The sequence below is a fragment of the Homo sapiens genome, chromosome 10, assembly GCF_000001405.40.
Source record: "Homo sapiens chromosome 10, GRCh38.p14 Primary Assembly".
NCBI classification, from domain to species: Eukaryota; Metazoa; Chordata; class Mammalia; order Primates; family Hominidae; genus Homo; species Homo sapiens.
The window spans coordinates 22,674,454-22,688,256 of record NC_000010.11 but is presented as its reverse complement, the minus strand read 5'-3'; the positions used below and the strand labels follow the sequence as shown (position 1 = coordinate 22,688,256).

Sequence of the window (13,803 nt, the reverse complement as noted above, 5' to 3'; positions counted from 1 at the left end):
AGTGTTACCAGTTTTCTTTTTTCTTCATGTCGCTTTCTTACTGTATTCAGAAAATTTTCTTCTTTAAAAATATTTCAGATTATTGTCACTTTGGTGGACCCTTTACTCGTCTCTAATAAAATGTGAACTGAATACATTTTCAGGTGAGATGTTTCAGTTCATGCTGTGGGGTCTCCTGTCTGTGTGAAGATTTGACCTATGGTGTACTTTCTCTTCATTTTTTCCCCTATTTCTTTTTCTAAAATTAATTTTACTCTGTATATTTGAGGTTTACAACATGATGCTATGGGATTCACAGAGATAATAGTGACTATAGTGAAGCAAATTCATCTATCAATGATCTCGCACAAAGTAGGCCCTTTGTATCTGCATGTTCCGCATTTGCAGATCCCACCAACCACAGATCGAAAATACTTGGGAGAAAAACAAATAATAATGTAACAATGAGAATAATACAGATTTTTTAAAAATGCAATATAACTATTCACATAGCATTTACTTTATATTTGGGATTATAGAAATGATATAGAGTATCCAGGAGGATGTGTGCAGATTATATGCAAAGCTGCGTCATTTTGTATCAGGGACTTGATCGTTGCGGATTTTGGTGTCCTGAGGGATTCCTGCAACCGGTTGTCCACTGATCTCAAAGGATGATGGTAGTTAATTTGTGTGTGTGTTTGCATGTGTATGCGTGTGTGTGTGTGTGTGTCTGCTTTCGTAACGAGTAACTAAAACCTATTTATTTAACAAAAATCCCCAATACAGTTTTATGAACTCTAGGCCTCATGTTAATACATGAGGTCTACATTAGACCTCTAAACTTGTTCATCCTCTGTATCTGCTATTTTGTATCTTTTGACCTCCATCTCTTCATTTGGGCCTCCCTCCACCTCGGCTCTGATAACCATTGTTTGATTAAATGCATACCTGACCTTTTTAAAAAGAGTCCACATATAAAATCATGCAACATTTTTCTCTCTGTGCCTGGCGTATTTCACTTAACATAATGTCCTCCAGGTCACTTCGTGTTGTGGCAAATGGCAGGGTCTCAGGAAGGGTTTCTCTTTCATCTGAGGTCGACATTTCCTTCATCCTTTTTTTTTTTTTTTAATCTGACTTATTCTTGCCTACTTGAATTGCAGATTAGTATAGTGTCACATAGCATGCCGCATCATGAGCATATCAGAATATCACATTTAATGTATAAGAACTTAATCCAGTAAAACAAATAAGGTCTCATTTGCTATTTACGAGTGAGCATGTATGTGCTAAGTAACTGTGGAGCAGGAGACAGAATGTGCGCGTTCTTCAGCTGCGGAATACCTCTCATAACAGACGGCCCTAAATGCGCTTCTGGCGTCTCCAGACATGAAAAATTCAAATGGTCTAATTTAGCTGCGTCAGCGTGAGAAATTTAAAATGTTGAAATGTTACCTACTTTGTACCATACTCTACTTTATTCCTAGATTAAAGAAAAAAATAGAGGCTGGGCACGGTGGCTCACACCTATAATCCCATTCCTTTGGGAGACAAAGGTGGGAGGATTGCTAGAAGTCAGGAGTTTGAGACCAGCCTGGGCAACAAAGCAAGACCTCGTTTCTACTAAAAAAAAATTTTTTTAACTAATTAGTTGGTGTATGCCTGTGGTCTCAGTACTCAGGAGGCTGAGGTGGAACTTAAGCCCAGGAGTTCAAGGCTGCATTGAGCTTTGATTGCAACACTGCACTCCAGCTTGGGCAACAGAGTAAAACCCCATCTCTTAATTAAAAAATAAAAATCCAATAAGAAGAAAATAGAGCTTGCTTTCTTCAATTATTGAGTGACTTCTCAACCTAGTATAACTAACAGGAAGAAAAGTCTTTTTGATGCCTACTGATGTCAGTTTTCAGAACCCTGAAAGGAATCCAGGGGTTTAAAGTCCCCTCTCTCAAATGGTTTGTGGGGTTTAGTTAAGACGTAATTTGTGGAATCTATTGGGAGATTACATTTCCTTCAGGAGAGAAGAACAACTATCTAGGAGTTCAAGTTGTCCAAGGATTTGGCCAACTGCCTTTGGGAATAATGAGTTTCCTGTTCCTGAAATTATCCGAAATGTGCCGGTTCAGCATGTTTCCAAGTTGTTTTCCACAGTGATAGACAGGATGGATAAACACTCAAAAGCACAGCAGACTCCCATGGGCACTGTCGGAAGTTTGCAGCAATCTTGACACGCCCAGTATTACTCGATCCCTGCCTCACTTAAGGCGAATATTGGAATGAGAGGGAGAGGATGGCGTGGCATTGAATCTACTCACATTCATATATAAAAAGTAAATTAGAGAACTGTAATTGTTATTAAATTACAAACAACAAAATAGGTAACTGAGTATTGCAGTCACCAGTGTGAATGACTGGAGGTGTTGTCTGCTGACCTCATGGCCTGCCATTGCTGTGAGGGGCATGGCACCAGACGAGTGATAGGACTAGGTAGCTTTTCTCTTTCTCCCTCCCTGCCCCGCCGCCACCCCCACTTCTTCTCTTCTGTTGTCTCTTTTTTTCTGAGACAGTATCTGTCACCCAGGCTGGAATGCAGTGGTGGGATCATAGCTTACCACAGCCTCAATCTCCTGGGCTCAAGGGATCCTCCTGCATCAGCCTTAGCCCCCCTGGGTAGCTGAGACTAAAGGCACATGCCACCATGCCCAGCGAATTTTTAAAGTTTTTGTTTGTTTGTTTGTTTTTTATAGAAAATGGGTGTCACTTTGTTGATCAGGCCTGTCTTGAACTCCTGGCATCAAGTGATCCTCCTGCCTCAGCCTCCCAAAGAGCTGGGATCACAGGTGCAAGCCACTGTGCCCAACCCTTTTCACTTTCTTAACCCTGAGATTTTGATTCTGTCATGACCAAAATTTCACAAGGAAAATTGTCTTAATGATTCGCCTCTCTTCTGAAATTTTTTAGTATTATGATTCATTAATAGTATGACTTGATGCTAAATGTCCAAAACATTGTTTAATAAAATCAGTTGAAGAGTATACACTGGGACTCTTAAACTCCTTTTAAAAATTATCTGGATATAATCTCTTATGCTGTGTAATTATAAGTTGTACTTCTTATCTCATAACTTTAAATACTCAATTCAAGCAGAACCATTTTCAGAATCAAAGTCCTATTGAAAATGTAAACATTAGACTTCTTGAAAAAATATATACATGGCAGATCTACTGTGGTTGAAATTAAATGACAAGAGTGTCACCAGTAATGCGGTTTCTGTTATTGCACGGGTTCCACAGGTGTAAAAATAACCCTTACTAGCACCCTGTTTTACTAGCTGGACACTTGCCGAAATGGTCAGGAACACAAAAGTGAAGCAGCTGTGTATCGGACAGCTGTGGACAAGATGTCCATAAGCAGTGCTATAAGGACCCACCAAAGCACAACTTCAGATGACTTGGCAGGGCGGTGACATGCTGGGAAGCAACAGTCATGGGCTGTGCATTTTCACAGAAGTGTTCAAGGAACTCCAGGGTAATTTACAAATGGCCACTTTGCCATATGCCTGAGACACTGGAAAGATTTTTAGTGGGTGGCATCCTATAGACCAGGGATTGTTTTGATGCCAGGGAGCTCGAGCTGATACTGGACATTGGAAGGTGTGTCAGGTTTTCTGATAGACAAATTATGTTTCACTAATAGAATGTTTTGTTTGAGGTAGGGAATATTTTTAAGAGGACAAGGAAAGCCAATAGGTATATTTTTAAAAATTATGAACATATATGTATAAGAAACAGTATAATGAAACAAGCGCATTACAAAGAATAATGATAAAACACATTGTGTGTTAGCTTTTGGCAGAAGGAATATAAGCTTAAAAGTTTTTTAAACAACTTTCTTTGGCAAAAGAAGTAGAGGCAGTGGCAATCAAAGAAAAAATAAGGGATTCAGACAAAGCGTACCTAGTATTAACTGTTAGTACCACAGATACTAATGCTGGTTTTTAATTAAAACGACCCAATCAGTAATGTCTTTGAGATTGCCTAAATTTACATTTTGCTCTCAAGTATTTTTAAGTCATAAAACAGCAAGCCAGTGGGGAAAATAAACTGAAAGATGGTTTGCCACAGGCCTGAAACTGTGAGTGGGGAAGTTGGCATACTAAATTGTAATACAGACAGATGTGAGGTAATGCATTTAAGGGGGGGAAAAAGACTACATTCTACACACAAAGTAATGGGCTCCAGGCTTCTTGTGAGTATTTCAGATAGGAATCATTCAGTTTCTAATGGGTATTTGGCCGATGTGGTGCTTATTGTAGCCAGGAACGTTCCGGGCAAGGAAGCGCTGGGCGATTCCAGGAGAGATATAAAGAAAATATTTCAAGATCTGACACACTTTGAATTGTGTGTGTGTGTGTGTGTGTGTGTGTGTGTGTGTGTGTGAACTGCTTGGTAGGAAAGCTACAAGAGAGACTGGGAAAGGCTAAGGGAGGGGCGACTGAAAGAGGTACCAAACCATGAGAAGAAATTACAGTCAGGAGGGACGCTGCAGTCTGGAAAGATGAAGCTGTGATTAAAAACCATGATAAACACGTGCTCAACAGACTTCTTTATCAAACCCTGCAGAAGGGAACAGAAGAAAGCAGTTGCTGCTTGAGGGGGAAAGTTAATGGAAGAAGAAAATAACTTGTTTTCGACAGTTGACAAAGCAGTTTCACCTTTGTCATCTCACCTGACCTGTACCCAGCACTGAGGAGAAGGCTGGGGACAAGTCATTATTCACATTTGACAGATGAGCAAACAGATCAGAGTAAGTGACTCGGCTAAGTCCACACTGTCAGCTCTGCGGTCAGGATCAAACCTGGCTCTGACTCAGGTCCCCTTGCACTTGGCCCACCTCTGAGTTGCGAAAACTTGGGGTCTGTACCACAGCATGGAAGACTTAGGATCACTGTGAAAAACTGTGACTTAAGATCACAGTGAAAAACGGCAAATGCAAATACTGTTAAAGCCTTGACTCGGTGGTATGAGCAGAACTCATAAGAGTTGAGTCAGAGAGCAGTCCAGGTGTCTTCAGCTCAGATAGCTGCCCTTGCTAGAGAGGCTGCTGGTTGAACAGTAATTTATCAGCTTGATCCAACATAAAGTTTCTTCATTTTTATTTATACTGTACTGTCGTGTCAGCTGTTTTTGTTGTTGTTGTTGTTGTTGTTGTTTTTCTTTTTCTTTTCTTTTTGGCTTCAGAAATGGCCTCAGCTACGCAAAAATAAAGAAGGATCTGAAAGATCAGTCTTGTTGTAAAGAAGACAGCAGGTGACATGGTAGATGACCGCACATTGTTCATTCCCAAGGTCATGGGTAGTGCCAGGATTTTCAGACGCAAATGATGCATATGTAAAGATGACTGGACCATCTGTGTCTCTTCAGATCCTGTTGCAATTACCAAGTGTTCCCAGCAAGGGTTAATGTGGTGTGTGAACCTGACTAACCTCAGGTTCTAGTTCTCCCTCCCTGAGTAGAGAGTCTAGGAGCCAAGTTCAGACTGGCTCAGTCTGGAGGAATTCACAAGTGAGGCAGGTTTAATGGAAGAACAGATACTCTGAGGTTTTGGAGGGCCTGTGATGTGCTTGTCAGCGGGTTCCTGCTTCTGCCACCCCCACCACGGAGCACCAACCATGTGGTTTGTTCTTTGTGTACTTTGTTAGCTAAACTCTCAAGTGTCAAGTTGATGGCACTTTTTTTTTAGGTTCATGGACACTGTTACTGTCCAATAATTTGTAAGTCAGCAATGCTTTGTTTTATCAGTAAAATAAAACACTATATTAGGAATAGCATGATCAGAACAGGGTGGTTTCCTAATTTTTAGATTGCTGGCCTTTTCTAGAAAATAAAGGCAAGGTGTGCATACTTGAGGTTTGAGGGCTACCATTGCCTCCTGGCAGAGGAAATGAGTAGGCCTGATAGTTGCTAGGTTAAAAAGAAACAGTAGTTGAAATACTGAGAAAAGTTTAATGAAAAGTAACTTTGGCTCTTAAGTAGAACAGTTTGAGGACAGTGAAAAATTCAGTAGCTAAGGGTTGTGTGCTCTCTACACAGGGATGGTGTGTGGATTTGTGGATAAGGTATGCAACAGAGTACTCCTCTTTGAGCATTTTTATATCTTGAATTAACTATAGCACAGGAGTTGGCAGACTATGGCTTGTGGGCCAGATCTGGCCCGCTGCTTGTTTTTGTGTGGCCACGAACTAAGGATAGTTTTTACGTATGTACAAAAAAAAAAATGGTTTTCTAAAAAAGTATTTCATAATGTGAAAATTCTATGAAATTCAAATTTCAGTGTCTGTAGATAAGTTTGATTGGAACAGAGCCACACTCATTTGTTTGCCAGTTTGTAGCTGCTCAAACAGCAGAGGTGAGTCATTGTGACAGAGACTGTGTGGCCCGCAGAGCCTAGAATTATTTACTGTCTAACCCTTGCAGGGAAAGTTAGTCAGTTTCTGCTACAGTAAAATATTGCTGGTAGCTGAAATTAGGAGTTTTCACCTCTTTTCCTGCGTTTTATTTTTTAATTTTAATTTAATTTTATTTATTTTATTTTTTTTTAGAAATAGGGTCTTGCTCTGTCACACAGGCTAGAGTACAGTGGCGCCATCATGGCTCAATGCAGCCTCTACCCCCCAGGCTCAAGGCATCCTCCTACCTCAGCCTCTTGAGTATGTGGGACCACAGGTGCATGCCACCACACCTGGCTAATTTTTAAAATTTTTTGAAGAGACAAGGTCTCACTGTGTTGCCAAGGCTGGTCTCAAACTCTGAAACTTAAACAGTCCTCCTGCCTGGGCCTCTCAAGGTGATGGGATTACAGGCATGAGCCACTGTGTCTGGCTGAGAAGCCAGGTCTTGAGAAGCCAGGTGGCTCAGAAGGCCTAGCTGACAGTGTAGGGGAGACAGAGGTCCCCTCCAACCTCCCTTTAGCTCTTAGTGGGCTCTTCAGCTGGATCTAGAAGTCAGGTTGACATCAGGCAGATTAATAGGAGAAAGGAATACAAATTTTCTTAGTGTTACTTGCACCTGGGAATCTTTAAAAGAGTGAAATCCAAAGGAATTGGCCAAAGCAAGACACTTTTATGCTGAGAACGATACATTTGAGAAGAAATGACAAGAAAAAATCTGGGGCAGTACATTTCTAGGGGAGTCACTGGGAGGATACATGGGGAGTATAAAACAGGTAGAAGATAAGGGCTACTTCCAGAAATTTCCTTATTCAGGTTAGTTGCATCTTCCAAACCCTAGTCTCTGGGATAAGGGCTATTTTCTCGCCTGAATAGGTGAGGGGCCCCTCCCAAAGGAATCTTTGTGGCTTGCTACATGCAGGAAGACCCAGGTCACCTGGCTTGTTGGGGTCAAGTTGGAATCTACAACTTTTTCAGTGTTTTCAGCTCACACTAATCAATATAAAAATCCGGCATATTTTGGGATGGCATGTCCTTCACTCTTTGAACAACATCACCAAGACCTCAATACATGTGTAGGGTCACCTTGGATCACCAGCCCTCGCTGAGCTGTCGCAGGAACACAATGTTGAGCCTCCTTGAGTTCTTGACCCATGTCATTATGAGCCAATAAAATGGCAGTGGTTTTAAGCCATGAAGTTTTGGGGTGTTTTTTACGCAGTGTTACTTAACTGAAAAGGACTAGGGATGTATGCTAGCCTTTTTATTGTCATTCATGACAGAGGGAAAATACCCTCTCATCCAGGATGTTAGTAAAGAATGTAGTTAAATCCTTCTGCCACTTGAGTTCCTGGTACGTGTGGCTCATCTAAGACATTAAATGCTATTTTTATGATTATAAAAACAATGCATGCTTATTGGAGAAGATTTAGAAAAGGATAGAAAATTCTAAAGCACAATATTTAAATTACTCATAATTCGGCCATCTAAAGATAATCACGATTAATACCAGCCTTTTCTTTAAAAATATATTCTTGTTTTATAAAATTTATTTATAGTTTTGTACTCTGCTTTATTCGTGTAGTAAACAAGCATATTTCAAAAACATAATTTTTAATGACCACAGCAGCCCATTTAAGTGGATTTAAAAATCCACATAATTCAAAAGTAGTGCATGGTCTTCATTTTTTGTTTCTAGGTTTGCTAGAGTATTTTTTTTTAAAGGAATCCTTTTTAAAGACAGCTTTATTGAGATATAATTCACATATGATATAAAGTGTACAATTCAAATACCATTTAGAATATGCAATTCATTGCTTTTTAGTATATTTACTAAAATGTATATATTTTTATATACTATTTAAATATAGGGGTTGTATAACCATTCTCAATCTAATCTTAGAACATTTTCATCCTCTCTAAAAGAAACCTAAACCTTATTTCCCCCAACCCCTACCCCCAGCCCTAGGCAACCACTAATCTGCTTCCTGTCTCTGTAGATTTGTATGTGGGCTTTTGTGACTGGCTTTGTTCATTTGGCATAAGGTTTCCAAGGTTCATCCACATTGTACCTTGTAACAATACTTAATTCCTTTTTATGGGGGTCAAGGCATATTCTATTGTGTGGATAGACCACATTTTGTTTATCCTTTCACCCATTAATGGACCTTTGGATTGTGTTCATGTTTTGGCTATTACGAATAATGCTGCTATGAACATTTGTGTAGAAGTTTTTGTGTGGACCCATGTTTTTATTTTTCCTGGGTACATACCTAGTAGTGAAATTGTTGGGTTATATGGTACCTCTGTGTTTAATTTTCTGAGGAATGGCCAAAGCAACTGTATAATTTTACATTCTTACTAGCAATGTATGAAGTTTCTAATTTCACTGCATCCATGCCAATACTTGATATTGTCTGTCCTTCTTCTTATAGCCATCCTAGTAGGTATGAAAGAGTAGTATCTCATTGTGGTTTTGATTCACATGTTCCAAAGGACTGATGATATTGAGGAGGTATCCATATACTTATTGGCCATTTTTGTATCTTCTGGAGAAATAGCTATTCAGATATTTTGCCCATTTTTTAATTAGGTTGTCTTTTTATTGAATTGTAAGAGTTCTGTATATATTTTGAGTAAAAGTCACTTGTCAGATTTGCAAATATTTTCTCTCATTTTATTAGTTTTCTTTTCACTTTGATAGTATTGTTTGCAGCATTAGGTGTAAATTTTGATATAGTCCACTTCCTCTAGTTTGTTGCTTCTGCCGTTGGTGTCACATCCAAGAAACCATTGCCTAACACAAGTCACAAAGATTTTAGAGAATTTTTTAAATGTTATTTTATTCATTTATCTTACACTTTATAGCTCATTCTGCTGTATTTTTAAAAAGGCAGATCCTTCAAGGACAATACATAGGGAACACATTCTTTTTCATAGCTGTCTAATACTCTAGGTATAAGTAGACCTTAATGTATTCAACCATTTCCTATTGATAGACATAACCTATTTCCAGTTTTTTGGGTTTTGCCACAAATAAGACTGCAAAACTGTGTACATTTATTATTTTGTTCTGGTGTCTTTATTCCTAAAGGATACATTACCTAGGGCGGAATGGGAAGCTTCCTTCGGAATCTAAGTACCAAGATTTGTCTGACATTAGAATTTGAGCACTCCAGTCTGCTGGCTAGGAAAAAAATAGGAATCTGCTGGAGAAGAGTTTTCATCACAGCAAACTCATTTCATAAAGCTGGGTTGCCTTCACATTCTGTTGCTCTTTCAACAGCTTATTTTTATTTATTTATTTATTTATTTTTTACTGTCTTCAAGGAAGTAAAACAGACTTTTCCCCATAGAACGACAAAGGAAAGAAATGCAGAAAGGTTTGGGAAATAGCCACTAAGAAAAGTATGCCGGTGTTCATTCTCAGTCTTGTATTTGGAGTGTGTGTGTATGTATGTGTGTTCTCTTTATCATGCACTGCTAAAAAGAATTCAGGGACCACATGAAGACACGCACATGTGTGGTGCCGTATCTGCTGGTGTATGAACCTAATGGGATCACCGAGAAAGTGGAACCCTCCTGGCTCTGCTCTGGTCCCTGGTATCTCATTTCTGTTGTTGAAAGGGGGGTTGGCAGGGGTAACACTGAGAAGACAATTGTGACAAAATAGAGATTTTTTTTTTAAAGTCCAGCAATTAAAATTGAACATAATTTTTATATCATTCATTCCTCATGGTTTAAAAGGAGTGAAAAATGTACAGGAGCTTTAACTGATGTCTGCTCTGTAAAATCTGTGTTAATGTGATTAATGGTCAGCTATTCATTTAGAGGAGCCAAAGTAGCAGATGAGTGTTTTCGTATTTTTAGATTCTTTTTAAGAGCCCTTAGTGGCCTATTATATCGACTCTTCCTTAGACCACACGCAGCCTCCCTTTAGCAAATCTCCGAATTGTTACTTTCATTTAAACTTCAGCTAGAAGGCCACTTTAGGACCTTACTGACTGATTGAGATGCTAGATTATATTTTAGCTGCATCTTAGAAACATTTTCTGATGGTTTGAAGAATCTGTGTTACTGCTTGCCATGAACTAAGTAAGCTAAGTGAATAGTTTGTAGGAAACTGACAAGTGGAAGTGGTTTTGAGGATTTATTTTTTTCTTGTACCTTTTTATTGAGGGAAACTTAAAACATTTCAAAAGTAGAGGGAATACGCATGAACCCATCACTCAGTTTCCACATTCATCCTCTCAGAGCTCATTCTGTTTCATCATTCTGCAGGATCCCACATGCAGCCACGAGCCACGTGTGGCTGCTGAATGCTTGCCTTGTGGCTATCTGCAGGGAGTTGTGCCCCAGTGTAAAATGCAGCCTGAGAGCCTGTTCCAGCAGCCTACTCCCTCTTGGGGTCTCCTCATAACTAAGCAGACCCTCGCGCTAGCCCTATCTCTGTGTAAGCCCCTCCTTTCTTTCCTTTAAAACACTTTGAAAGTGCCACTGTTTAATTATTTGGCGTGCCCATTAAGTCTCAGTCTGATTCCCTATGATAATACAGTCTCCAGAAGGGGTAGGGCCTGGTGTGGAATCGGTGCCCGGAGTGCACCCAGTGAATGAGCACACCCCAGTAGGAATTCTCAACCCCAGCTGGGCCCAATACCTTCTTTGCCAGGTGATGCAAACATGTACATGCAAAACATGTACATGGTAACCTCCTTTAATAACTTGATATGAAATTCACAGATGATAGCTCTTAAAAAATGAATATAATGTCCTAAGTATAACAGGAAAGAGAAATATAAGGAAAGTAATTTGCAATAAAATCATGCTTTTTCTTCTCCTATTTCTAGTATTGGTGGCACAGATTGTACCAGACTAACCTACTAGCAGGTAATAAATATTGTAAGCCTCTTAGGCAAAACAGCATCTCCCAGTATTCAGCTCTTGCCATCCCTCTGAGCTAAGCCTTTCTCCCCTGTGGCACTTAGTACTGAGTGACATTCTGGTTTTTTAATTGTTGGCTTCCTCCTCTGCTAAGAAGCTCCATGAGGGAAAGGAATGTTTTCTGTTTCATTCAGCTCTGTATCCTCAGCACCCAGAACAGTGCCTGGACTATAGCAGTTGCCCAGTTAAGCAGATGTACCTTTTACTTCTTGTTCTCTGATTCATCAGCAGGAAGAGCCTATGAAAGGTCTCCCTTATCAGCCCATCACTGAGCCAGATATTCCCTCTGGTTAGTCTCTTGCCCTTGTTCCTCTCTGCTGGATGAGATGATGTAGCAGCTGAAGACTCTCCACCTATAACTGTATCGTGCCACATTCAGATTTTTAGAATGCCCCTCTTGATCTGGCCATATCTACATTAAATGCTATTTTCTTCAAGCAGTGAGACAAAGCTGAGAGACGATAGGTTTAAAGATTGGTTACAAATTCTGATGAAGACTGGTCCTTGAAGTCTTTGGGCTGTTACATGGCCCTTTGGAAGCAATAGGTCATCACTGTGAACAACTTCTGTAGGTACTGGTTTCCATACGAAGGGAATACATCTTGATGACTTTACATGAAGTCTTAACTTTATTTGCTGTTTAATGTAAGTTGGTCAAGGGTCTTATTGAGCAGAAGAAACTTGGGAAATGAAAGCACTGTTACTGGGACCACAGTTTTTGAGCCTCTGCTGTCAATGGAAACAGACACTTCAAAAATGCTCTCCACGGAGGCTCAGAGAGATGAAAAGACAGGAAAAGGAGCCGAAAAGATGAAAAGACAGGAAAGAAAAGACAAAAAGGAAAAGGAGCTCCATGTGCCATCATGGAGCACAGGGACAAAGAAATGGCAACAGTGTGTCTGTTTCCCTGTTAATGGTTGTTGAGAAATACTAGCCACAGTTTCCAAAGTATTTAAGGAATAGGAAATGTGCAATAAATTATGTGATTTTTTTGTGGATCAGTTTCCTTCTTCCAAGTCGGGAAATGTCAGAGAAACACTGTGTTGTTCAAGGATGACAGCCAGGAACTAGTCAGGCTTCAGCACCTCCTGCCATTGACCCTCTTCTCTGAGCATTATGTAGAGTGGATGTGAGGGCTCATTCATGGACTGTGTCAGGAGAATTGTACTACATTGATCATTTAAGGGAACCATTCTGCTTGTTCAGGAGAGTCTTTTCATTACTTATAATGGCTTGTTTATTGACATTTCTTATTTACTGTTTCTCCTCAACAGTGTTTTTGTTTGTTTGTTTTTTGAGACGGAGTCTCACTCTGTTGCTCACGCTGGAGTGCAGTGGTGCAATCTTGGCTCACTGACTGCAACCTCCACCTCCCGGGTTCAAGCGATTCTCCTGCCTCAGCCTCCTGAGTAGCTGGGATTACAGGCACACGACACCATGTTCGGCTAATTTTTGTATTTTTAGTAGAGATGGGGTTTCACCATGTTGGTCAGGCTGGTCTCAAACTCCTGATTTCGTGATCTGCCCACCTCGGCCTCCCAAAGTGCTGGGATTACAGGTGTGAGCCACCGTGCCTGGCTTCTCCTCAACAATGTTCTAAGAGATAAAGCAAAAGTATCAGGTAATATGTCATTGTAATGGTACCTGGGATAGAAGAATTTCATTTGCTTGCTACTATCTCCACTCTTACATGAATACAAATGTTCCCAATTTTTAGTCAATGTACCAATCAACATTGAATGAATGATATGTAAATTACAAGAATGAAGGGCCAGAAAGATGTCACGTATCAGTGATGACTGTTCTGAGCTGTGCCCTCTTAAAGCAATAAAGTAAGTTCTCTTTGATTAATAGTTACGTTGGCTACCTTTTAGCTGCCCATGAAAAATATAGATGGACTTTTTTTTGTTTTTTAAAGACAGAATCCTACGGTCTTGTTTTGTTGCCCAAGCTGGAGTACAGTGGCATGATGATAGCTCACTGCAGCCTCAAACTCCTGGGCTTAAGCAATCTTCCTGCCTCAGCCTGCTGAGTAGCTACGACCATAGGCACACCACCACTCCTGGCTGGGTTTTATTTATTTATTTATTTATTTATTTATTTTTTGGTAGAGACTGAGTCTTGCAATATTGCCTGGACTGGTCCTGAAATCTTGGCCTCAAGCATCCTCCCACGTTTAGCCTCCCAAAGTGCTGGGATTACAGGCATGAATCACTGTGCCTGGCTGGAAATTTCTTAGTAAAACAAAATTCGTTAGTGGTTCAAATATATTTTCAGTGCTATAAAGAATATAACATTTCTACCTATTGTCAGCTAAAGCTAAGAGTTAAAGAACTACACCTAACATAGTGACTGGCATAAAGTAGATGTACAATAAGTATTTGCTGAATGTGTAACTGGATGGCTGGAATTAACTTTGAGTAGGAGAAACA

General features: G+C 39.9%; 1 protein-coding gene across 5 annotated transcripts in view, besides 3 other annotated features; it reads left to right on the top strand.

Annotated features, from left to right (window-relative positions):
• The window catches only part of PIP4K2A (phosphatidylinositol-5-phosphate 4-kinase type 2 alpha), a 179,725-nt gene that overhangs the window by 26,322 nt on the left and 139,600 nt on the right, over positions 1–13,803 (top strand). The gene's annotated exons all lie outside the window — the stretch shown is intronic.
• Positions 4,204–4,273: an enhancer, noted in NCBI's record as "active region_3145". NCBI's record gives its function as "activates an Ori minimal core promoter by ATAC-STARR-seq in GM12878 lymphoblastoid cells {active_cell/tissue: GM12878}" and the evidence as "EXISTENCE:reporter gene assay evidence [ECO:0000049][PMID:35858748]".
• Positions 4,814–5,033: an enhancer, noted in NCBI's record as "active region_3144". NCBI's record gives its function as "activates an Ori minimal core promoter by ATAC-STARR-seq in GM12878 lymphoblastoid cells {active_cell/tissue: GM12878}" and the evidence as "EXISTENCE:reporter gene assay evidence [ECO:0000049][PMID:35858748]".
• Positions 5,774–5,893: an enhancer, noted in NCBI's record as "active region_3143". NCBI's record gives its function as "activates an Ori minimal core promoter by ATAC-STARR-seq in GM12878 lymphoblastoid cells {active_cell/tissue: GM12878}" and the evidence as "EXISTENCE:reporter gene assay evidence [ECO:0000049][PMID:35858748]".